The sequence below is a fragment of the Homo sapiens genome, chromosome 13 (genome assembly GCF_000001405.40).
Source record: "Homo sapiens chromosome 13, GRCh38.p14 Primary Assembly".
Classification (NCBI taxonomy): Eukaryota; Metazoa; Chordata; class Mammalia; order Primates; family Hominidae; genus Homo; species Homo sapiens.
Window position 1 is genome coordinate 107315792 of NC_000013.11, and position 27857 is coordinate 107343648.

Consider the following 27857-nt stretch of genomic DNA (forward strand, 5'->3'; position numbering starts at 1 on the left):
TTGGCTTCTTTCTTCCAAGGTAATAAAAATGGGCATATCTCTTTCCAATAAAAATGATAAATGAATTGAAGCCCAAAATATCTTATTTTTTATAGATATATATATATATTTATTTATTTATTATACTTTAAGTTCTAGGGTACATGTGCACAACGTGCAGGTTTGTTACATATGTATACATGTGCCATGTTGGTGTGCTGCACCCATTAACTTGTCATTTACATTAGGTATATCTCCTAATGCTATCCCTCCCCTCTTCCCCCACCCCACAACAGTCCCCAGTGTGTGATGTTTCCCCTCCTGTGTCCATGTGTTCTCATTGTTCAATTCCCACCAACGAGCGAGAACATGCAGTGTTTGGTTTTTTGACCTTGCGATAGTTTGCTGAGAATGATGGTTTCCAGCTTCATCCATGTCCCTACAAAGGACATGAAATCATCATTTTTTATGGCTGCATAGTATTCCATGGTGTATATGTGCCACATTTTCTTAATCCAGTCTATCATTGATGGACATTTGGGTTGGTTCCAAGTCTTCGCTATTGTGAATAGTGCCGCAATAAACATAAGTGTGCATGTGTCTTTATAGCAGCATGATTTATAATCCTTTGGATTTATACCCAGTAATGGGATGGCTGGGTCAAATGGTATTTCTCGTTCTAGATCCCTGAGGAATCACCACACTGACTTCCACAATGGTTGAACTAGTTTACAGTCCCACCAACAGTGTAAAAGTGTTCCTATTTCTCCACATCCTCTCCAGCACTTGTTGTTTCCTGACTTTTTAATGATGGCCATTCTAACTGGTGTGAGATGGTATCTCATTGTGGTTTTGATTTGCATTTCTCTGATGGCCAGTGGTGATGAGCATTTTTTCAAGTGTCTTTTGGCTGCATAAATGTCTTCTTTTGAGAAGTGTCTGTTCATATCCTTTGCCCACTTGTTGATGGGGTTGTTTTTTTCTTGTAAATTTCTTTGAGTTCTTTGTAGATTCTTAAGTCTTAGGACTTAAAGCTGAGTTTTCTCTTTTTAAGAATCCACTTCTTCTGCTTATTGCTGACTTACTTGCAACTGGCTGCCTACTTTTACATATACACTGGTCAAAGAATAACACCTAAATCTTCAGTTAAGTCATCATTGCAATGAACACAATAAGCAATACATGGGAAGTACTGAAAATCAAACACTTTAAAAGATTTTTAGAAATGTAAATGAAAGATCTTTTCTAGGAAATGAGAAAAACTATTGATTGCTATTTAGTAGATATAAAACTTGCCTAACATTATTGTAGAGACATTAGTAACCAAGACTATAATTCTGATTTTGCAAGAACTCAAATAATACTTAGTTTTACACTTAATCTTTTATCATCTGTGACAAAACGTAGCAAAATGAAAGATTATCTAGAAGCAGAATCAAGGTTGTAATATAACTATTTTCAAGAGTTAGACGACCCATGCATAAAATCATTTATTGAGACATGCATATGTGTCTAAGAATACATTTTAATACACGTTTAATAAACTATCATTAAAGCATATCTGTACTGGGGTGCCAATCACCGATTTTTAACAAAACCATTCTATGATCCCATTGAGAGAGGTATTGACTTTTATCCATTTTGTCTATAATATCCTAACAATTTTACATATGGGAGGTTTAAACAAATTAGAGGTTTAAAAACATGTAGAATTCCTGGGAATAATCTTTAGATGCAAATTTTAAAACCAATCTATCCCCAAATTCTGATACTAAAACACAATGTTCAATCTTAGTTTGGAAGAAGTAAGAAACATGCAAAACAGATTACACTTCTAGTTTGATTTAGATCTTTAATTCTTAACTTATATTAAGAGCATATACTAGACTATTATAAGAAATAGTAGCATATAACATATGAATGTTTATAATATGTACAAAATAACTTATTAGAAATAATTGAATTATAATATCCACACCACAAAGACAAGATATCTGGGAGTTATCCAGAAAAACTGAGAGAAAACAATGAGATAAAATTGAGAGAAAATGAAGCATTAAAACATAAGATATAGAATTTTCTAAAAATAAAATGTCAGAAAATTTTCAAGGTAATTAAAGAAAAGAAGCAAAAACTAACAAATGAGTAGAGCATTAAAATGTTAAATTTTTGGAATAAAAATGCTTAGAAAGCATTCAAAATCCAGTAGCATCAGTTAATAGAACTGACACAGGTAATAATCACTGAAGATTCTCATACTTTTCTATCACTGCTTTCCATAAAAGGCATGCAAATACGGTAAGGAGATACGACTGAGCATAAGAACTCTGTCAGAAAAAAGCAAAGGAAGCAAATAATCTTTTTTCTATTAATTTTGTTTCATTTTATTAAAAAAGTCCTAAGCAATTATTTACAAATGACAGTTTTCTGACAAAATATGTCAATCAAGTAAATATCATTCAAAATATAACAAAGCTTTTTGAAAATTTTCACCTGTTTGTTATCAACTGCACAATTCCGGCTTTAAATAAAATGGTAAGCTAGAATTTGTATTCGTATCTTTTTGCACAGAATGTGTCACTGCCCTAACATGGCTCTTTAAGTTACTGAGTTATTGAATGCTTGCAAATTGCAAAAAACTGTAATTCATTCTGCGGTGAGCCATGTTATGAGTACCACTTTTTTCAAACCTTAAAAATATCTTAGGAGAGAGGCAGCATTTACAAAGTATGAGTTTCAAATGGGAATTTAGATTTCTACACATTAAATTAAAAAGCCTATATACTTTGAGCGGAAGGAGAGGAGTAATGGAAACTTTCACGTATTGTGGTGGGACTAGAAACTGGGGCTGCCTCTTGATAGCGCAACTTGGAAATACTCATCAACATTTTGAACATTCACACCCTTTGCCCCAACGATTCTACTTTTACTAATTTTTCCTACAAATGTTCTTGTACATGTAGGCAAGACTATGCACAAGAATGTTCATGGTGACACTGATTATAGAGCAAAAAGATAGGGGCAAACTAAAGGTTCATTAATAAAGAATGGTTTAGGTAAAATTCATAAAACAACAATAAAGATTCAATTGACATGGTCCACCTATGGCATAAAGCAAGCACAATGCATACAGTATAATTGCTGCCATTTGTATGTCCATTTATAAGTAAGTGAATTTGTTTTTCCAAGACTCATCTTACATACATGTTTCTACATAGACGTATGATTGTCCAGAAAATTTTGGTTAAGCAGCAGAGTTCAAGGAGTTCAGTTTGGTAAGTCACAGTCCTAACGTCTTAAAAAAGTGCTCAAAGATGGAGGCAGGGTGTCTCTCAGCATTGTTTGATTGAAAGATGTGAGGGAGAATGTGCCAAGAGATAGGGCTGGGCCAACTGGTCCTCCGGCCATCATAAACATCCCATCAAAACCATCAGGGTTGGGGTGGTGGGCGTTAGTGATAAAATGATGAGTCACAAAAGAATGTTGAACTGGTGAACGTGGGACAGAAGAACGCTGTGATTAGATGTATATTAATATATTGGAAGATCACTCAGCCAGGAGCATGAAGGAGGTATTCAGGGAAAGACCAAAAGCAGGAAGGTTATTAAAATGACAATTGCAGTATTTAATGGAGATATGACAAGAACCTGGATTCAAGCACTGACAGCCAAGAACACCACTGGATAAACAGGATGGAACAGATAAAGGCGCAATATAAGGAGTATACTTGTTAAAAATTGGTGATTAATTAGATATGAGAAGAAAGTGCTTATGCTATTTTCTGCCTTGTTCTTAGAGGTTCATAAATATAAAAAGAAACACATATAAATATTTAAGATAATTATTAATTCATTAAATGTGCATAACAACTATATAAGGTAGGTTCTAATACTCTCAACTTATACAGATGAATAAATAGGAGTACTGAAGGTTTAAATTACTTTTCCAAGTTCATGCAGTCAGTAAATGGTGGGCTCAGAATTACAAACCAAGGCAGTTGAACACCACTGCCTGTACATTTAGCCACTACATTCTACCTCCCCTCAGACTCCCCTGATCACTTTCAGAGCTTCTAAGATGATGCTTGGATTCCAACTTAGGTGAGTGGGTGAAAAGAGCCACCACTAATCTAACGAGGGGAAGCTGGAGTTAATGGAATGACCACAAGGCCAATTTAAAGGGCTGAAATTTGAAGTACTTGTGACACACCAAAGTTGAGGCATTTAGCAGGAACTTACAGAACAGAACAAGGCACCAGTTATAAACTTCAAGCCTCTTGGTAAAACCATGGTATATTGAGATATAGACATGGAAGAGATGTTCTAGAAAAGGTAAGCTCCAGTCTTTTGACTTGCTAATTGTATGACATATATACACTTCTCTAGGGGGTCTTTTAAAGATGTGCCTAAAAAATAAACAGACATTGACTGGCAGTAAGAAAATATGGCCATTTTCATCCTTTAAAATAAATCTGAAAACTATGCAATTCAGGAGAAAAACACCCCATCAAAAGCCTTTCCTTTGGAATTATTTCCTTAGTTTCTCCCATGCTAACACACAAAAAACAAAACCAAACAAAAAAGACAAAAAACTTAACCAACAAAATCATCTTCTTTTGACCTATTCCACTGTTAATCAGTGAAACCCTCAACTTCAAACGGACTTCTTCCAAATCTTTGACTCATTTTCTTACTTCCTCACATCAACTCCTTAGTTGCAGAGAATGAGGTCAAGGGACCGAAATAATATTAAACAGTTAATCATGATGAACCTAGAATGGGTAATAAAAAGCAAATCTTGAGATAATCAGGAATTATTCCTATAATCCCTCCATTATTACTATTGAACGAATAGGGCTCCTTTGAGTAAAGAATGTTGGTTTATGGACATTCACTAAGTACTATATCCCAGGCCCTGTGAAAAGGATCTACGACAGGACAAACTCACTCATTGCATTGTTATCGATTGCAGGATTTCCTCTTATAACAAAAGCATAAGGTGACCTTAATAATCTTATGATCTCCAATGCTCCTTTTGGCTGTGAATATCTCTGAATTTATATTAATAAATTGTCTCAACAGGAGCCATTATATCTTTTAAAAAATTATTTTTATTTTTCAAACTCACAGCTCAGAAAATATCTTTCACGCATGTTGATCAGACTGGGGCAGTATTCAACTCATCACTGGTGGTATCATTAAGAATGGTATTTCCTATCAACATTTATAAAAAAGAATTTATGTGACTAGAAATAAGCTAAGGAAGTCTAAAATGTGGAGAAATGGAAAATATTATTGCACACTGAATTTTAACATATATAGAAAAAGTTAAAGTGGGTGAAGCAAATCTAGAAGACCTTTATCAAAAAAGGATAGCAAATGTTTTTATTTTTGTGGGTAAAATAGTCATTTTACTTTTTCCCATCAATATTAAACATCCTAATGATGGGCCTTTAAATTTGAAAAGTGGAGTTTCCAAGATAAATTAATGAGCTGAAGAGAACAGGCTGGCTAAAGGAACAGAACAGAAGCAATTTTATTTTTCCGAATATTGAGAAAAAATATGAGAACATCGCAAGAGATTGATATTGAGTATTAATCATTTCCCTGTAGTTTGTGCAATTTTCCCTGCTAGAAGAACATCCTGATCTCCACTGGAAACATAAAATTTGCTTTGTGAGTTGAAGAAAAAGCTAAGCTTAACAAGTTTGTTCCAGGTGTTTAAACACTGATTTCAGGAATAATTAGTGAGATGACTTTCTGAGGATTAAGATATTTGCCATTTTTTTCTACGAAAAGGCAGCCTATTTTCAGATCTCTACATGGTAAAAAGTTGCACTCAACTTGAACTGAACTTTGGTTTCCACCAACTTCCATGGGTTGTTCCTGGCCCTGCGTCTAGAACTACACAGATTCTGCCTGCAATGTCTTTCATAACACATCCTTTCAAGTGTTTAAAAAGCTCCAGGTCCTCCTAAATGGCATCTTATCAAAAATAATCATTTCAAATGTGGCATCATTTTGAGATGCTGTACCTGTTAACACTTTTTCAATCACAATTCTATCCATATCCTTGTTTAAAATAAGAATTCCAAAACCTAAAAAAACGGTATATATTTCATTTCTGTCACATCAGAGCAATTAAGGTAGAGTGAGATTTTTCCTCTCTTCTCTATTAATGGAGCCTTAACCCCTTAGTTTCTGGTTTGTTTTTCATACCCATACCACCCACCCTATTAGCTTATCATGGATACAGAGTGTTTGCTAAACTAGGACTCCTTGTCTTGTATTTGCGAAGATTTTACTTAAACTCAGGCGAGATCTCTGTATTTTTCCAGGGATAACAGTTATTTCCATTGGCTGGTCATGTGAATCCAACCTTCTTTTGTATATGCTCTGTAATTCCTTATCACCTTCAAGTTGCTATTTTTCCTCTTCAACAACATTTTCTAGGATAAACTTTAAACAGCTCTATGCTCACCTACATGTAACGTGGATAAATCTACATACATATCTATCTCTTATTCAAAAGACTGGTTAATATACCTTGTCAGATGCCTCATTACAAACCATAAAGAAGTCTTAGAACATAAATAATCCATGGCATCAGACAGCATATGCTAATTTTAGATTCTCGTGATGACTTATTATTAAGTAAATACCAACCAATCATTCAGTGCTAGAAATTAACTATGAGTCATCATTACACTACCTGTTCTCTAACTCCTTTTGTTCTCCCTTTTGAATTAAAAAAATACTCCATTTGTGATTTTCTGGTACCTCCACCCTAATCCCTGGTTTGTGAATGAACACCAAGGATGACTGAAGACCAGCCTAAGAAGGGAGTTCTTCCAGCAGCTTCCTGGATGTGCTCCTCTGGTCCTGGGAACCTCAGATTTTGATGGGCTCAGTACATACTTTCTCTCTCCTCACACAGTTTATGCTTCAAATTTCATAACCATCCTTTGTCCACTCTTTCAAGTCCACAATTCTGTAAGGAAGGAGACAGGCAAAGTGGAGGCTGAGTTGCTTTACCATTCATAAATTACCTCCTTTCAAAATGATCCCCAATACGATGTCATTTCTGCTCCAACAGTAACATTTGCTCCACCAGATTCCATAGAGTCAAGGGTGTTCCTGTTCCCTTGGAAGTCTGCACACCTTTGAATGCCACAGACCACACCTGGATATACCCAGAGCTTTTATTTTTTGAGATCCACCACAGACTTCACTTTCTCTTTTGAACTAATATAAAGCTTAGCTGTTTGTTTGCAGAACGCTTATCTTTTCATGAATGAAGTTTTCTGACTTTATTAATAGACCATTGGAGTATTGACAAGCAAGGACCAGTTAAGAGACCACTACTGGACTGTGACCTTCCAGATTTTCAGTAGCAGGATTCAAGTCTCTATCTCCACAAAATTGCAAATGCTTCCGTGCTATAGAACTTCTGATTAGTGTGAAAACAGTTCCATTAAAAAACATTGTATCTATAATTCCTCAGTGTCTGTTGAATAGTTCTAACAGCTCCACTCAGATTTGAAGACACTTCACCAATCTTGCTTCATTTCAGGCTTTCATCTTCAAATCACTATTTTAAAATTATTGAGAAAATTCAACTGCACTGTTCAATTTCAATCTTACATGACTGTTGTTTATTTTTGGAGATTGAGGGAATGATTATTTGATCTGCCTCTGAGTTTATTTCTGATGTTGCCACCTCAAATTTTTTTTCTCTATTTTTTTCTCATATAGCGCTTTTTAAAAACACAAATCTGATCAACTTCCTCTGCTTAAAGTCTTCCAATGACTCCTAATTACTCACTTACCCCCAATCAGACTGTGAGGGATGAAATGAAAGCCTGCCTGTTTTCACAGCCCAGAGCAGACTCTAGTACCTGTACTACAGTCGACCTGCAATAAACATTTCTCAAACAGAAGGAATGCACAACAACTAAATTATGAAAACATTCCATTGTGCTTGTCCCTGGTCTTATGTTTATCCTTCCTTCTTTGCCCAACTTTTTGTTTTAAATTGTAACTTATCCAAGAGACTGTTTGAATACACCTGCCTTTATTTTCTCTAGGAATCCAGGACTTTGGGAGGCTGAGGCAGAAGGATCGCTTGACCCCAGGAGTTGATCAGCCTGAGCAACATAGCAAGACCCTATCCCTATGAATAATTGAAAAATTAGCCGGCATGGTGATGTGTGCCTGTAGTCCCAGCTATTCAGGAGGCTGAGGCAGGAGGATCCCTTGAGTCCAAGAATTCGAGGTTACAGTGGGCTATGAATGTGCCACTGCACTCCAGCCTAGGCAACAGACAAATGAAAACAAAAAATATTTTCTCTAGAAATTTTTTCACCAGTAGGAAATAAAAAAGTGGCTTTAGAGTGTTTTCATTTGTATTATTGTCCTAACACTTTGACAGTATTTTTCAGTCCTTCCTATTATTTTTCTGAATCATGGTATCTCATACTTCTAATCAAAGACGTATTTCAAAAGGCCTATCATTTTAAAATATTTTGCTTTATATCCATGAAAATCCTTTTAGAACTTATTTTAATATTTCTTTCCTCTAGATTTAATACGCTTACCTAAACTCACCAGAGACAACCTCAATTTGCATTTCTGAGATCTGTTTTAAGATACTTGACCTTGTACTTAACTTTCTGGTTAACAGATTAAAGTACTACATTTCTGGGAGTGGGGGGAAGAACAGTATCTAGGGCACTTGTGCACATTCACATGCAAAATTCTAGAAGAAAATCCCTAAATTCCAAGAAAGTATCCATCTGCTAGATAATATCATTGCATAGAGGAGTAACTGTGGGTTAATCAAAACATTCTATTTCTTCACCATGCATTGACTCATAGAATGTTGCGTATCAGTTGTGTTTGTGTGCCTGTGTGTGTGCACAGTAGATATACTTGTAAACTCATGAAACAGTGGCCAAACTTTTCTGAAATATTTCTAACTTTTCAATAGTTTTTATTACTTGTAAAGAAATTATAATTCATTACAAAAGAGCTGAAGTTATATTGATTGATATGTGACAGTTATGCCAAAGTATCTACTATCCAATAACTCAAGGTATATTATTCAATGCCATGTAGATCATTTCTACACTATGATATTAACAAAACCTGGATGAGTCAATTTGTTCACTTTAGCCTTCTGAAATGATTTATGTCTATTGCCACAAATTTGATTTACTGAAGAAACTGAATCAATTGTAAAGATGACTATTGCAATCCACTCCCTCCTGCCAAAGGCAGTCTATTCAATCAAGAGCTATCTTGAAATCATCAGTGGCTTCTCTAAAAATATGGAAGTACTCAGTTAACATATGATTTATTTTTCACGTCCTAATATTATTAGGACACAACCATTTACTGTATTTTTGAGAAGCATAGTGTGCATATTATAAGACAAAATGGCATAATCCAATATCATATGCATAAAAAATAAAATTAAAATAATACAAATAATATAAAATCATATAATGGCCTGAAATCAGAATGCATGATGATGATGAGCTAATTTTTCCAAGTATTTATTTTTTCCAAATTCTTTCACATCTATTTTAAAGTTAACACTCAAGACAATCTTATGAGACATTTTATAACCCCTTTTTGACTAAAGACAAATAATTCATGGAATATAATGGCTTGCCCAAAATTAGTATGTTTCAGAGCTGAGGAAAAGCAAATGGAAGACTTGATTTTTACACTGACTTCCAATATTTTATTATACAGTCACTTATCTTTTTAAGAATATAATCTGGCTGGGTGCAGTGGCTCACGCCTGTAATCCCAGCATGTTGGGAGGCTGAGGCGGGTAGATCACTTGAGGTCAGGAGTTCAAGACCAGGCTGGCCAATATGGCAAAACCTTATTATCTCTACTAAAAATGCAAAAATGAGCTCAGCATGATGGCATGCACCTGTAATCTCAGTTACTGGGGGCGCTGAGGTAGGAGGATTGCTTGAACCTGGTAGGCGGAAGTTGTAGTGAAGCAAGAGTGTGCCACTGCATTCCAGCCTGGGCATGAGAGAGAAACTGTGTCTCAACACACACACACACATATATATATATATATATATATATATATATATACACACACACACACACACACATATATACATATATCACACATATATACAACACACATATATACATATATATACACACATATATACAACACACATATACATATATACATATATATGTATATGTGTGTGTGTGTAATCCTACTTTTCATCAAATCGTTTCATTAGCCTCGAGTCATCCAAAAAGGAAAATATACAAATTTCCAAACAATTTTTTTAAAAAAATCTGTGGTAGTGAAAACAATTTTGAAGGCAGAAATGCTAGGAGGCAGGAATCAAGAGGCTGGGATTGGAGTCCCACCTAAATAATATAAAATCTGGAAAAATTAGCATCAGTCACATCTTAGTGCACCTGAAGCAAAGTTTAATGGAGATGAGACCTGCTTACACTTCCTTCCATTCTCCTTCTGATAAATGAGAATGTTGAAGCATAGCTGGTTTGAACAGAGCTTCTCGGGCATTCCTGGTGCGTGAAAATCTGGCCAGTCACAGGTATTAGAGCGATGCCATGTAAATTACCAACTTTATTAACGATTGACCTTTCCTCCATGCAAGACATTGTAATAAGTGAATTATATGCATCATTTTAATTAATTCTTAGACCAATTCTCCATTTTCCCCATTTTATAGCAATGAAAACTGAGACTGGGTTAAGGAACTGGTCTACACATAGCCAGTAGATTAGTCCAGATTTGGACTCAGCTTCCTTATGGAAGATCACACTGAGAGGATTGAGTAATATAATGGGCGTTGTATTACTTTTCATATTAAAATGAGTGTTGAAGGTTTGTGAATTGTCTACAGAATACTTTAAGTGGGCTTTAGACCCTGCAGGGACAGAATATAAGAAACCAGCAAGCAAAGAATGTGGCTCTTCAGCATGGTGCCCAGGGATAGTGTCTCCACTGGGCCTTGAGGGTGATCTTAATTAGAGGATTCCCTCACATGATCCAGCCAGGCTAGCCAGATCCTGGTCTCCACTGGGCCTTGAGGGTGATCTTAATTAGAGGATTCCCTCACATGATCCAGCCAGGCTAGCCAGATCCTGGTCTCCACTGGGCCTTGAGGGTGATCTTAATTAGAGGATTCCCTCACATGATCCAGCCAGGCTAGCCAGATCCTGTCACAAGAATGCCTAACCCCAAAATCACACATTGAAGGTTTCTGTCATCAACAAAGGTCAGAACAGAGAACTGGGACTTTCACTAAATTTTTAGATGTTATGACTTTCTTTAGGTCTAGTTGATAATTTTAAAAAGTTATAGTTCTTCTTGCCTGCAACTTTGCTATCAGGCAAGGAGAATTATAGCTTTTACCTGCCTCTAAATACCAGCAGCCACCAAGACCTACAGAAAGGGGAGCCTGGCACCTAGCTTAGTCCATTGGCTATAGCTAGCCTGGCCTCTTGTCCTCACTCAGATGGGCCTTGGCCTGCTGACTTGTAAGAGGGAAGGTGTTGGGTGCTGCATTCTTCCACCTTGCAGCTCTGTTGAACTACATTCATTTCAAGAGAGATCATTTTATAAAACCAATTCAGTATGAATGAGGTTCCTGTGGCCAAACCATTCTATAATGGGCGATATTCTAATAGACTGTCATTCACATTATTTTAATACATTCTTTTCTATTATCAGGCTTTTGGTATAATTACCACTTAATCAAATGTCACTGAGTGTCCTAGATATGGTAATTTATCTGGCTTGTGAATAATTTCAGCTTGATGAAACATGATAGCAATACTTTTAAAAAACTTTTTACTGACTTGAGCTACTGGACCTCAAGTGCATCTTACTGAGTGATCATTTCCGCTTTTCTTCTCTTTACCTATTTGTGGTTGCAATACCAGCATTCAAATGGCTAATGGTTTGCTCTTCTGTACTTGCTAATTAGCCTGAACAGCCATCAGATATTAAAGGTATCCTGGTGACTGATTATGGGTGACTCTATAAACCTTTGTCCTTGCCATCCCTCTTTATAGAGTGGTACTCCAGCCACCGAAATCCTAGTTATCCTTCAGATCTCAGCTTAAAAGTGCTTTACTTTTTCCTTTTTTTTTTAAGACAGGATATCACTGTGTCACCCAGGCTGGAGTTCGGTGGCAGGATCACAACTCACCACAGCCTCAACCTCCAAGGCTCAGGTGATCCTCCCACCTCTGCCTCCCGAGTAGCTGGGCCTACAGGCATGTGCCACCATGCTAGACTAATTTTTGTAAAGATGGGTCTCACTATGTTGCCCAGTGCCCAGGCTGATCCTGAGCTCCTGAGCTCAAGGGATCTACCCACCTCGACCTCCCAAAGTGCTGGGATTACAGCTGTGAGCCACAGTGCCTGGCTACTTTTCCTTTTCCTAAACACCCTTTGACTTCTTCCAACTTTTCATCTCCTGCAATACACACACACACACACACACACACACACACACACACACACACTTTTGTTTGGCTCTCACTATTCTGTAATTTTCCTTTCCAGACTCATCACACTCACATCCTCTGTGCTTAGTGTATTGTAGGTGCTTAAAACAAACTTTTCTTGTACTTTGTTCAAATTATTTTTTAAAACAATTTCTAATTTATCACAACTTAAACTCCAAAGTGCAACTAGTATGAGAAGTCCTCCCATAAAGCATTTTCCTTCTGTTAAATAAAGACACTTTAAGAAATGGCCTTGACAAACCTTTGGTTTCTCTGCTCTCCTCTCTCTCTTCTATTGAGATACAGTGTTTTGAAGAAACAGAATGAATTTCTAAATGAATAGTACAATGCCTCAATCAATCCTTTTATCCATGTCCTGGAAAAACAATTTTCTAATCTCATTTTTTAAAGGAAGAAATAGAAGAATAACCTTGCAATCCATATGCTAAGCCTCTAGGTTCACAGCAGGAAATCAGGGTGACAGCACTTAGGGTCTCCAGGCTCAACCACAGAGTGGTGGCCAACGCTATCAAAAATTTACCCCTTTTGCAGAATCTTGAACCATCACAACTCCAATGCAAACCAGAAAGGGTTTCAGGAAAAACACTAACCCAATAGGTCTACCAAAAATGTTGTAACTAGGTTTTAAATTAGAGGTACAGTGTTTCACCAGTGTGACACTGTAACATCTTAGATTATATCATGAGGAAGAGCTTCTCAATGAGTTATCAAAATGAGGTACAGTGTTTCACCAGTGTGACACTGCAACATCTTAGATTATATCATGAGGAAGAGCATCTCAATGGGATCAAGAAATGTGCAACATTCAAGAACAAACGTGTACCATAAATATAAAATAACTATAATTCCTTAACACATTGCTTTAAACATAAAATTTTTAGGAACTGAAAATATGCCTTCTGGAATTTAGAAGAGCACAAAGAATGAAGGCATAATGAGCAGTAAAGTTTGATTTAATAACAAAGATTAAAATCTCAATGTAAGAATTTTCTAGAAATTCATATAGCAATTTAATAACAAATGTTGTGAAAGGAGCACTCTACCTAAGTCATGGCAATCTGATCTCAACTATCCAGGGAGCACCATGTTCTGACACAGATAAGTGTTTTCCAACAAGCCTCATTTTCACTGTCCAGTAGCTTCACTCCTGGGAATACCTGGCTTCACTCTCTTTTTTTTTTTAAATTTTATTATTATTATACTTTAAGTTTTAGGGTACATGTGCACAACGTGCAGGTTTGTTACATATGTATACATGTGCCATGTTGGTGTGCTGCACCCAGTAACTCGTCATTTAACATTAGGTATATCTCCTAATGCTATCCCTCCCCCCTCCCCCCACGCCACAACAATCCCTGATGTGTGTGTGATGTTCCCCTTCCTGTGTCCAAGTGTTCTCACTGTTCAATTCCCACCTATGAGTGAGAACATGCGGTGTTTGGCTTTTGTCCTTGCAATAGTTTGCTGAGAATGATGGTTTCTAGCTTCATCCATGTCCCTACAAAAGACATGAACTCATCATTTTTTATGGCTGCATAGCTACTTTTCCAGAGAAAGAAATTGTCCTTACAGATTTTATTGCCTAACTTTACCTTTTAAAACTTTAGACGATTTCTGTCCTCCCTGCTTTCATTTCAGGTCATAGGATTTGGGGAAGTGAGGTGTGCGAATGAAACACTCGATTTTTGCTTCAGAGTTGCCTTTGGTTCTGGAGAACTCAGGAGGGATTGTTTAGGGAAAATCATGCAGATCTCCCTGCCCAGGATGGACCCTAGGCTCAGGCCTCCTAGAGAAGGCTGCACTGAATAGCTACACGAGGCACTTCAGGGCTGTAGCCTTTGTTAAAACCACAGTCTGACTGGAACACTTGTGGTATAAATTGAGGTGGCTGGCTGCTCCCAGAAGTGAGAGGAGCTGATGTGTTTATTTTGGCTCTAATGATGAGGAATTTGAAACGTTGTCTACTTGATGTCCAAAGAGAAAAGATGCTGAGAAATATATGAGCACATTGTCTCCATTATACGTAATATTCAATATTTGTCAATATCACCATAACGGAATATTTAAATTTCGATCTGTATTCCTGGTCTTATTATGAAATTGTGGGGAATCACACTCTGAATCAAACTAATTCTCATTTGGTTCTCAATTTGGGTAAAAAACACATCTTGGTAGCTATTAAAGTAGTTTATATTTACAACCCAATATTAGTAAACACAACATAAGGGACACTGGATATTTTGGGGTTTCACCCTCTTCCTAAACTGATGTTTCAAATACAGAATTATCACATAAGGTCTTTTTCACAGACTCTAGTCCTGTGCATTTTTGCAAGCCGCGGGGCTGTGTCACCATAGTTACAGAGGGATATTGGAATAAATGTGCTTCCAGGAATAATTGTTTCATATTTGTGTACAAACAGCTGAACTGCATATTTCCATTCCAAGTGCGATCAGTCTAAATTCAAACCCTGTCATGAGGAACACCATAGAATGCTCAAACAAGAATAAAAATGAAGGTTTATGCTAACAAAATTCTTTCAAATACATGAAAATGTTTCTATTATCTTATCTTCTTGTGCCATAGCCTTTTTCTATGTCTGCATTTATCTTTTCTCTACTTATGAATGACTTTTTAAAATAGTTGACTATAACCTGTTTCATGAATTACAGGAATGCAAGATGGCCCAGAACATTAATAAAATAGGTAATAATTGCAGTGAATATAGATTAGGATGGTAAAAGAAGATTAAGAAATACTATTAGTAACAGTTTTAAATATTCACTTTTTCTAAAATTGTTTATAGAACAATAGTAAATACATATTTGGAAACTTCAACTTTATAATATTGAATGAAAATGACTGCTTTATAAAACTTTTTTTAGCAGTTAGAGAAATTTCATATTTAACTTTTTTTCTGGTACGGTATCATTCTCAGTAATGTAATATTTTGAAGACTGTAGTGCAATCGTTCAATTGCTTGTCAAGACGGAGGATCAATTTGTTAATAAATAATAGAAATGTTTTAAGAGATAAAGGCAATGTTCTCATAGCACTGTAATGTTTACCATGTTCTTATGATCCTATACTTTCCTCAGAGGTCATGAACCATAGAGGACACCCAGTCTCACCGCTGTGTTTCACAACTGGAGAAACAGAGGTCCACAAAAATTAAGTATTAGGTTGACGTAAAAGGAATTGTGGTTTTTACCATAAAAGTGATGGCCAAAACCGCAATTACTTTTGCACCAATCTAATACCTTGTAGACGTTTACATGGTTAACTAGTAGCTGAGCCAGCATTAGAATTTTGTTCTCCTGACAGTCATTCTAATCTGTTTTCTCTATACTTTATCACGAAATAACAATAGGATTTAGATAATTGTTCATTAGAACATGAAGCAATTTTTATATAATAGATATAATTTTCTTTCAAATAAATTAGAGAAAAATATTATGCATATTTGTAAAGACTCAGAAGGGATCGGACATTTAGAAAAGAGAATCAAAATGTTTATAAATGTTTTCATAAGACATTATAATTTTATATATCCTAAAATATTAATTATTAGATGCTGAAGAGGACATATTTCAAAGGACATCAAAATAGTCAATGAAAAACCAAGAGCAAAATTCACTCAGCATCCTATGTATACTGTCTATTTTTGAAAATAGATTCATAAAATATGTTCTTTAGAAATAATTGCCAGTAAATTTAAATTATATTTCAGTAAAAGAACAATTCCTGGATATGGACATTAAGGTTTAGTTTCTGATATTAGGTCTTTGCAAACAAACCCATTTTGTTTATAAAACAATTAGCTTTTGAATGCATAGATTTTGTTAAAGTAGCAATAAAGACCCCACTTTCAAAAACATTCATTTATGAGTCCCATAACAACATAGGAATGACCCTTCTCACCCCACTCAAATCACCCAGCTTGCAGAAGGGGACAGAAACACATTCAGCAGTGTGCCACCTGGCATACAAATAGAGAATTTAAGCATGGAAGGGAATTACATCAACACTGCTTAAACGGTGAGAAAAAAAATCTGCAAAGGAGCAGCAGGAGTAGAAAAATACAACTAGAGGGTGTCCTTTTCACTTACTGTGATAGTTCACAGAGCTACAGCCGGAGCAAAGCCCTTTCCAGTACTGGAGGCGGCCCTGGGTCAGTGGAATACAGACCCAGTCTCTACGCATGGCCCCTCAGGAGCAGCTGTGGGGCCAACATATTTCTATAGAAACAACTGCTCAAACTGAATTCCAATCTGCTTTCAAAAATGATTTAAAAACAATATTAATGGGATTCTATTTCTGATAAACAATTTAAATAAAAAAGTAAATTTAAGAATGCAGCTGCCTCTTTCTTATGGTAGTTATGCTTTAAAAAGTCACTGTGAACACCTAGTAGTGGATATAGAGCCATTGCTCCTAGTAAATTACATGGGTAAGGTCCCACGAACCTTTGTTCACATCTCCCCCAACCCATCAGTACATTCTTTTTTTGTTTGTTTGTTTTTGTTTTTGTTTTTTGTTTTTGTTGAGACAGAGTATTGCTCTATGGCCCAGGCTGGAGTGTAATGGCATGATCTCGGCTCATTGCAACCTCCACCCAATGGGTGCAAGCGATTCTCCTGCCTCAGCCCCCAGAGTAGCTGGGATTACAGGTGCGTGCCACCACACCCAGCTAATTTTTGTATTTTTAGTAGAGACGGGGTTTCACCATGTTGGCCAGGCTGGTCTCGAACTCTTGACCTCAAGTGATCTGCCCGCCTCGGCCTCCCAAAGTGCTGGGATTACAGGAGTAAGCCACTGTGCCCGGCCTACATCCTTGTTTTATGCCTGTTTCTGATTAAAGACACCTGATTCAATATATAATGTTGATTCATGAACATTGAACTCATGGCCAACAAACTATAACCCATGCCCAAATGAAGCTTCTCTAACATACACTCTGTAAGCCACATCACAGAATTCTTGGGCTTAGGAATACCAGACAGTGCTTCAGCACTCCACTTGGGAGTCATTTAGGCTGTAAAATCACCAAAAAAAGCACAAGAAATGAGAAAAACATGGCACTCATAGGCTTCAAAAAGGACGCATGCTTACAATATGAGAGCTGGCCCCAGCCAGCAGGGAGGGCATGGCTCTGTGCGACCTCAGTTGGAGACAGACCTGTGGAGGGACTCACATTTTTCACTGCTCTGGGCATGTCCATGAATGACAGAGGAAGTTCCGTGAGTATTGATGTGGGGGGCAGGTACGAGTAAATTTTAGCAAGTAGGTGAATTCACAACTATAAAATCAGCGAACAGTGAGAATTGGCTGGATCTGGAAAAAGACCAAATACTCATATACTTGAGCTGTTTTAAGGAGGTTGATCCATAAAATGCATTACTAATGTATAGTGGCTTCAATCCCAAAGCAAGTGAAAGTCGAAGTGAAAGCAATCAGCTGTTACTTTCTCCTTTTACCTGAGGGGATAGAGAATGTTTTCAATTTGTAGATGGAATCATTTCTGTTCATTGACATGGGTGGTATTTTCCTTGCTATTCACAAACTGACTGTGATTTGCAAGTTTCAGAATTTCTCACTGATGAATAATTCAGAGAAAAGGATATATCTTTATTTTTGTATATTTTCCTTCCAGTTTCCCTTAAATAAAGGGAATGTATTATGTTCATTCATGCCACTGTTTCATTCATGAAGTTATGTTTAGAAGTAAAAATAAAAGTCTCAGAAAATTTAGAAACACACATTTTAAAGGAAACTAAACATAAATTAAATATTCTCATTATAATTCAGTTGCTGTGATGGCAGATCAAATTCAAGGAATTCAGACCTTTTGACAAACCTTTATTAAGTATGGTAGTAATAGTCTAAAGATTTGCATAGAGGGACATCATTTTAACCTGGGGTGCTCTTCCTAAACAGAAACCCCAGAATATGATTATAAAAAATGCTTTATTGGTGAATCTGATCATCTGATTTGCTCTTTTAGTTGAGAACATCCTGCCCGAAGGACCAAGGCTGAGGCCCAGCTTAGCTCTTCAGCTCAACCCTCCCTTTTGTATTCTTTTCCAACCCCTCCTTTCCAAGCACTCTGCCCAATCAGCTCTGGCTCTCTAGAAGGATCCTTCATATCTTCTTTGATTTGCACATTCTTCCAGAAGGTTCTTTCACCCTCTTAATGAGAGAGCGCCTTTAGGAGTTCACCAGTAGTAAGGTTATTTTTTCAACAATGAAAAGTGAAAGCTGGGGGGAAAGATTGTATTTAGAATTTACAAAAAGTTTTTTCTTGGTAGAAATGGAGTCTCTATTTACATTTAAAGCTAAGACTTTTTAAAAAACCTTTTAAATGGCTCTCCACACTAATTTACATTTAAAGCTAAGATTTTTTAAAAAACGTTTTAAATGCTGTTCACACTAATTAGAAGCAGTTACTTTTTGGGGGAAATGTAGTGACGCTTTAAACACATGACTAAGGAACACAGTGAAGGATTGCTCTCTAAGTTCTTGTTGAGCCTATCAAGTTGATGGTGCTTTGTCTTGCTGGGTGAAATGAAAAGCAATATTCTCAGGCTCAGGAAGAATTTGGGATAGAGGCTCATGTTACTGCTTGTTATTGCTGGTAGTGTTTTTTGTGGTTTTGGTTTTGAGATTTTGAGAGTTGCCATCAAAGATGAGGAGAGGATGAGGACACCTAAAGACCTCTGAAGTCTTCGTGATCTCCTCAATACCACGGTCAGGATGAAGTGCGGAGGATGGATTTAGAGAGAATGCCGTTCCCTCCTCATCTGCCCCACACCCAGCATCAATATGCTTGCACACAAGCTCTAGACGAAGTCTTCTGCTAAAGGAAGGGAGGATAAGAAGGAACTAGGCACCAATTTCCATGGTCTCATCTTAAATCTGCTGGAAGTTAAAATTAGTGGCTTCGGTGCTATGAGAACATCAGATTCCTCAGGCCTTTGTATTAAGTGATACTTGACAACTTCTATTGGGCACTGTCATTAAAACAACAACTCCTGAATCCCTCATATTATCTGTACTGCAAATAAAACGGATCAAGTGTTTTGAAGCTATAACTAATCTTCACCAGTCTTCACAGGTGCCAGAGAAAGCACGTATAAGACTTCCTATTAAATCCCACAGAGAAATGACCTTTTCCATTCTTTCATCTAAAATTGAACATTTTCTTTTAATTTTCCACCACTTTAAAAGTAATTTGAAAATCCCAATCATGAGACATGTTTGTGACTTTTTCATGGCTGTCTCAAAATCTGTAGCCATTTAGAAATATAGTTGATTGTACTTCTTTTAACCTCCAGCAAGGCATTTTTCACCTTTCTGGTAAATGATAATGTACTGTTTTTGATTCATGGGTACCATCACTACAGGCAGCTGGAAAAGGAAGGGCAGATGGCCTTGGCCTCATTTACCTCCACCTACCTTTTCAGTCGATTCTATCCCACGATTCAACTCTAGAATATCCTTTACCGTAAGTGGGATATTGGGATAGATTTACTTTACTCAGAAATATAACTTCTAAATCTTATCTTGATCCTTTTATTAGTTTTATAAATTGCATCTTTCCAAATATTAATTTTTTTTTTCAGTTTTAGGAAATGCTTTTAAGTAATTCATTAAGCTAGTACGTCAGGGAACTGTGAAGTGATGGTGAATTTCTTGTACTTTTCCTCTCTCTTGCAAAATTAATGTCTTACTAGTATTTAAAATCTAATATCAGCCAGTCATGGCGGCTCACACCTGTAATAACAGCACTTTGGGAGGCTGAGGCAGGCAGATCACTTGAGGCTAGGAATTCAAGACTGGCCTGGCTAACATGATGAAACACTGTCCTCTATCAAAAATACAAAATTTAGCCTGACATGGTGGTGCATGCCTGTAATCCCAGCTACTCCGGAGGCTGAGGCATGAGAGTCACTTGAACCCGGGAGGTGAAGGTTGCAGTGAGCTGAGATCATGCCACTGCACTCCAGCCTAGGTGATAGAGCAAGACTCTGTCTCGATGATGATGATGATGATAATAATAATAATAATAATAATAAAAAATCTAATATCTTCACGAGTAGAAAAATTACATTTCAGGAGCTTCACAGTATACATTCTACAATAGTTGAATTCTTATCTATATTTATTTGTTGATTGCTATCAATGCAATAGCCACTGGAGTTCTAAATGAATATGCTCCCATTCTACAGAGGAGAGAACAATCTTTGTGTCTAACATTATCAGGAAGACAAGCTGGGCAAACTCACACACTCTCAACCAACCCTGTCCTCCACTTCCTCCGTGGTATTAATGGGATCTGAATGTTAATTTCATGTAACATAAAATTGTAAGTAAAGCCCATTTTCAGTAGTAGTTTCTTTTTCTTATTAGGAAATGATCCTGAAAATAATCTACAGTCTAATTATAAATTTAGGTTCATAAATGAGTTGATTTGAAGTGTCTCCAAGTCATTTTATTTCCCCCTTACTCTATTACACAGTTACAGCAGGATCAAGGAAGAAAATGAGGAACATCTTTTGAAGTGGCTGTTTCTAATCAATATTAATCCATTCATGAATAATGATCAATTGAATGAAAAGAAAAGCCCCCCCAAAATGACAGAAATCTCTGTTAGAAACCCGCATTGTTCTTCTTTTATCCCAAATAATAGGTTTTCCTAAAAATAAAATATATTCTTTCATTCCCCAAAAAAAAAAAAAAAAAAAAAAAAAAAAAAAAAATGTCAGAAGAAAAGAGACTCTTTAGGCCACATCACGGCATGGCTTCCACTTTGGAAAATGTAAGTATCTGGGTGGTCAGATATTTGTTCTGTTGGATCAGAAAGCCTATAACTGGTTTTTAAAAAGGTCTGATATTGATTTCCAGTGCTCAGACCCAAGTGCAATATGAAAATGCATAATTCTGTTATTTCTTTAAATACAAAGTTAGATTACTTTGCAAGAGGATAAAATTTACTGTGTAAATTCTTAAACATTGAAACCCAGTGTTATATCTGTATTGCTTTCAAATATAACATTTTTAAACATTTATGTTTAAATTCTCTTTTTTCTTTTAAATGTATCATCTCTCTTTGCAATTCTTCAGGGAGTTGAGGTGTATTTTGGGGCTCCTTATTGATTGCTGAGGCTTGTCGAAATGTAATGTGTCCCCTGAGTGCCATTAATGCTGATAAATAAGAAGAGATGAATACTTTTCCTTCACATCATGCCTGATACTTCACCACTCAACACTCATGTCCTTTCGTGCCCTTAATCCTATGAAAGCTATTTGAGGCCATTATTGTATAATTTCCTCTCTGAAAAAGTCAAGAGCTGGGAGCTGACCAACTTGCACACAGAAAAGAGTTAAGAAAAGTATCCAGGGATTAGGGATCATGGATGTATCATAGCACATGTCGAGATTTTGGGGTCAGACAGACATGAACATCAGTCTTGACTCTACCACTTCCTAGGTTGGTTGTTGCTTAACGTCTCTAAGCCTCTATTGTCTTATCTGTGCAATGCAATAATAATAATAATCTTTGCAGATTGCTAAGAAAAGTAAAAAGAAATATACATCCCTACCACCGTGTCACGCAAATAACAGCAACATAAAAAATTGTGGTGTCTGTGGTTATGCTGGGAAAATCTGGCATTCATCAGTAACTAAAAAGCTGTTACATACAAAGTGTCATATTTCATCCACTATATGATGTGTGCATTTGCGTATTTTAACATCTCCAAAATTGGGATGTTTCTTCGTGATGACATCTTTTTAAACTTAATGAAACGCAGTATAATCCTTGTATACTTCATTTAAAATAATAATGAAAAATATTTGCTAAATTTGAGCTCTTACTATGTGCTAAGCACTGAGCATTTTACATAGATTGTCTGACCTAATTCTTACAATCCCCATGGGGTAGAACCCCTTTATGTAAGAGGCTAAGTACCTTTTACGTGGTTGGTGCCTGGGTAGGGAGCTGGAATAGGGGACTGAGTACAAGTATGGGAAATGAGGTATAACTGGATTGCCTCTTAGCAACAATGTGATTTTAGGAAAGCATTTATCCTTTCGCCTTTCTCAACAAAAAAATAGTGTCAATATATTTACAATAAAGTCACTGGACTTAGTGATTAAAACATGTCCTCTAGAGCTAGGCTGCCTGTGTTTGAATACTGGCTTTAATTGCCACATATATGACCTTGACCATCGATTGATATAACCCCCTGAATAATTGTTTTCCCATCTGTAAAATAAAGACAATAATTGACCAGCCTCATGGGTCTGTTGTGAAGATTAGACACATTAATATTTGCAAGCTCTTAGGAAAGTCCTTGTCACCTATTAAGAGCCATTCGGATTAACTTCTATTATTATTACATAATACAGTTGTGAGGTATAAAAGGAATTGTTTGGAAAGTATCTGATGCTATGTAATGTTGGACCTGTTTGCCCCGCGTGTTTCCCGAAGATGTGGGTGCAAAACAATTCTAAAAAAGTTACAGCTTGACGGCCGGGAGCTGTGGCTCATGCCTGTAATCCCAGTACTTTGGGAGGCTGAGGTGGGCGGATCACGAGGTCAGGAGGTCGAGTCCATCCTGGCTAACACGGTGAAACCCCGTCTCTACTAAAAATACAAAAAAAATTAGCCGGGCGTGGTGGCAGGTGCCTGTAGTTCCAGGTACTCGGGAGGCTGAGGCAGGAGAATGGCGTGAACTCGGGAGGTGGAGCTTGCAGTGAGCAGAGATTGTGCCACTGCACTCCAGCCTGGGCGACAGAGGGAGACTCTGTCTCAGAAGAAAAAAAAAAAAAAAAAAAGTTACAGCTTGAACTCAAGACATCTAGTAACTGCAATGAAATAACCTGAAACTTATTTTATATTTTAAAAACCTTTATCTTCTTCTTATTGTTTGGTTGTTAGCTTTGAGACTTATGTGTTGGGTTTATTTTTAAATGTGGTTAACTTTCCCTAGGTACTGAGGCAGAAAGCAAAGGTGCTGGGTGGTCAGACCCTACTCATCCCTTTGGCAATGCTTCTCATGATTTAATGCACGTGTGAGTCATCTAGTAGGTTTGTGAAAATATAGCTCCTCCCACCTTCCACCTCTGATTTTGTTGGTCTGAGATAGGGGCCTGCAAATTTGCATTTGAACAAAGCCCGAGGGATAGTGATGCTGCTAGTTCGTAGACCACTCTCAGAGGAGTCCGGGACTCCCCAGAGCTGTTGTACAAAAACCATACCCCAAAAGAAGCAGAGGAGTATGTGATTTCTAGGAGCACTGGCACAGCGTCCCATATGCACATTTTGGAGAACTGAAGGGTTAGCAGCACTGGATAATTGCATCATTTATTTTCTCAAAATGAAATTCCACATTTTACTTCCCAGTAATGACAGGCCATTTCTCCATTAAGGCAAACACCAATTTTCAAAAATAAGCCATTTACTTTCTCCTTTAACTCTAAATAGATTTGTACTGTTTTCAGAAGATATTGTGTTTCCGACCTTGACAAGTCCTGTGAGCAATAGAAATGTTATTCTATAGATCACAAACATATACACAAATATACATGTATTTCCTAATTGTGTTCCACTATAAATTTTATTTAAAAAATTTCCTTTTCAATTCTCTCATTATATTTCCTATTCTCAAGTAATTGTCATTTGCAGTTAGACAACATGAAGACAGATTTGCCATGTAAAAACTGCTAAAATAAAGGTGGTGCTGACCTGCCCATTTCAAAGATGTAGGATTTATCTGTGTCTCATGCTCAACTGTTATTCCTCCTCTGTTTGCCTGTGGTTGTATACATTCCTTTAAATGCCTCACTTACATTCCTTTTTTTTTTTTTTTAGACAGTGGTGCAATCTCGGCTCACTGCAACCTCTGCCTCCCGGGTTCAAGCGATTCTCCTGCCTCAGCCTCCCGAGTAGCTGAGATTACAGGTGCCCACCAACACGCCCGGCTAATTTTTGTATGTTTAGTAGAGACAGGGTTTCACCATATTAGCCCAGCTGGTCACAAACTCCTGACCTGAAGTGATCCGTTCGCTTCAGCCTCCCAAAGTGCTGGAATTACAGACATGAGTTACGGCGCCTGACCTTTCTCTTTCTTTCTTTCTTTCTTTCTTCTCTCTTTCTTTCTTTCTTTTTGTCTTTCTTTCTTTCTTTTCTTTCTTTCTCTCTCTTTTTTTTTTTAATATCAAGCTAGAAAATAAAACGTGAAAGGAAGAAGGGATTTACAGGAAGAGAGGAACAGTTGTGTATATCACTGGCAGTGGAATACAAATAGAGTCATGTTTGAGGATGTCCAGGGCCATGAGACTGCATTCAACTCCACTGTCTCCTTTTCATTTCCACTGTGGCCATCCGAAGTCTTCATTTTGTCCATTTTCAGTTTCAATGTTTCAATATTTTCTTTACATTCCTGATCTATTTTCCTAATGAATCCAATTTTAATAAACAATGTTATCTTAAATAAGCTACTCTACTTTATCACAAACTGCAATGGGACAGCCTTTCAACAACTATATCTGTGAAGCTTGGACAAGTCATATGATCACAGTCCTGCAGCCCAGAGAAGAAATTTAGGTGAGAAGTTTGAATCTGCAGAATGCCAGCTGATTTATAGAATCAAAGGTAGTCAGAAAGATTCAAGAAAAGTATTGTTACTGCCCAATTTTTTCATCTCCTAGTATCACCCCCCACCGCCCCCGCCGCCCCGAACACTTGCATATATCTTTCTTTGGCCAACATGCTGGATAATGGCAGTGATTTCTAACAGATACTTGGTGCTAAGGACAGAAGCCCTAGACTCTATCAATTGACAAACACAGGAGATGTCTCTTGACTGGATGAAGATTAATACTTCTCATCAGCCTACTTTGATAAAAGTAAGACAGTGAGCAGATTGTCTAGGTGGTGGAGTGGTCTTTCATTTTTGGTATGTTTGAAAACATAGAATGCAATGGAGAGGCACAATAAGCACAGTTAGCTTATGCAAAGTAACCGAAATACCCTGTGTGTGTGTGTGTACATATGATCGAGCCAGCCTCCTCAGTGCCTTGCATTGCTGTTAAGAGGGGAAGTTCTAGGCTAAGACTTTGTGAGTTTGGATTCCTACTATGCTACTTGACCTTGGGCAACTTACTTAACTTCTCTGTGCCTTGTTTTACTTATCTGCAAAATGGCAAAAATAATAGTACTCATGGAGGTGGTGAGGATTAAAATTATATGTATATCTAAATTGTGCAGTATATAATACATATACATATATAATTGTACATATATTATATATATACACTTGGGTACATATATATGGTTTGTTGTATATATGGGATATACATGTATATATGATAGATACATTATATATAGTATATATGGATAGAGTATATATTACACATTATATATTAACCATCTATAATGTGTGTGTGTGTATATATACATATTTATAGGCATTTTTATCTTCAACATTACCCAGGGTAGTAGTATTTCATATATATACATATACAGACACACAGATAAACTATATTTGCACATGCAAACACACACACACACACACACACACACACACTGATGCATATATACAGTTTAGAATGTTTCTCACAGAGAGTAAATTCTCAGTAGGTGTTTGATAGCTAGGAAATATCAAGGGTTCAATATGTAGCTAAGGATATAACTCTATTAGCAAAACAACTAGACATTGCCATAGCCAGCCAAGCAACACAATTAGCTTATCAAATACTATAGATTTTGCCATAATTGGTCCACATGCCAATGTCTGCCAATGGAGTTCATTCATTAGCCATGAGCAATCCAAACCAAGAGAATGAAGACTAATGGAACAAACAAATCATTTGTATTTTCTATAAGCTTTTTAAAACAGTGGTAATGGCAAGAGCTAATGGAGACAATTCAAATATACTACAGTTTATTAAAAAAGTAATTCTACACAGTTGAGTGAAACTATTTTTGGCAAAAACAAATTGACAAAGGGACCAGATAGTAATAACCATGTTCTTAAGTATATTTTAATTGAATTACTTTTGCATTAAAATGTTACAAAACATGAAAAATGCCTCAGGATATCAATAAGATGGTGGAAAAGTAAGTCCCAGTCCTTATTTCCACAGCAATATACAGCCCAAAACCTTTATGAGAACTCCAGAAAGCAGAGAAGAAGTGGCAGAACCCTGGATGAGTACAACGATGAACAGCCTTATTGAAACAAATACACAGCATATGCAGATGCCATTTGTTACATCAATAACATAAAATAAGGGTGGAGAGATACAAACGAGTAGAGTTTTTGTGTACAATTGAAGTTAAGTTGATAATCGCTTAAAATCAATTATAACCATAAAATGTTTTATGTTAGCCCCATGGTAACTATAAATAAAACACCTATAGAAGAGATATAAAAGGAAATGTAAAAGGAATCAGAGCATGTCCATAGAAAACAAGAGTCAATGACTCAAAAAGGAAAGCAGTAAGAGTGGGGGAAAATACATGTATCTAACATCAAAGCTCCCAAATGTATGACGCATACGTTGACAGAAGTGAAGGGAGAATTCAACATTAACACAGTAACAGGAGGAGATCTTAACACCTCACTTTCAACAATGGATAGAACAATCAGACAGATGGTAACTAAGGAAACAGAGACTATAACGACACTACAACCAATTGAACTTAACAGACATGTATAAAACACTCTACCCCATAAAAGCAAAATACACATTTTTCTTAAGTTCACAGAGAATGTCTCCCAGGATAGATCACACATTAGGCTACAAAACAAATCTTAACAAATTTAAGAAGATTGAAATCATACCAATTATCTTTTCTGCTCACAATGAAATGAAACAAGAAATCAATAGCAGTGGAAAAATGGAAATTTCCAACAGTGTTAAAATTAAACAGCACACACTTGCACAACTGAGTTAATAAAGAAATTGAAAGGGAAATTGATATGGTTTGACTTTGTCCCCACCCAAATCTCATCTTGAATTTTCACATGTTGTGGGAGGGACCCAGTGGGAGGTGATTGAATCATGGGGGGCAGGTCTTTCCCATGCTGCTCTCATGATAGTAAATAAGTCTCACAAGATCTGATGGTTTTAAAAAGAGGAGTTCCCCTGCACAAATTCTCTCTCTTTTCCTGCTGCCATCTATGTAAGACGTGACTTGCTCCTCCTTGCCTTCTGCCATGATTGTGAGGCTTTTCCAGCCAAGGGGAACTATAAGTCCATTAAACCTCTATCTTTTGTAAATTGCCCAGTCTCGGGTATGTCTTTTTCAGCAGCATGAAA

At 36.8% G+C, this 27857-nt stretch overlaps 1 protein-coding gene and 1 non-coding gene across 2 annotated transcripts in view; both read right to left on the reverse strand.

Moving 5' to 3' along the window:
- The window catches only part of NALF1 (NALCN channel auxiliary factor 1), a 703987-nt gene that overhangs the window by 152282 nt on the left and 523848 nt on the right, over positions 1–27857 (reverse strand). The gene's annotated exons all lie outside the window — the stretch shown is intronic.
- SNORD31B (small nucleolar RNA, C/D box 31B) lies at positions 5104–5172 on the reverse strand. Its single transcript, NR_145739.1, has one exon. It is a non-coding gene; the product is annotated as a small nucleolar RNA, C/D box 31B (small nucleolar RNA).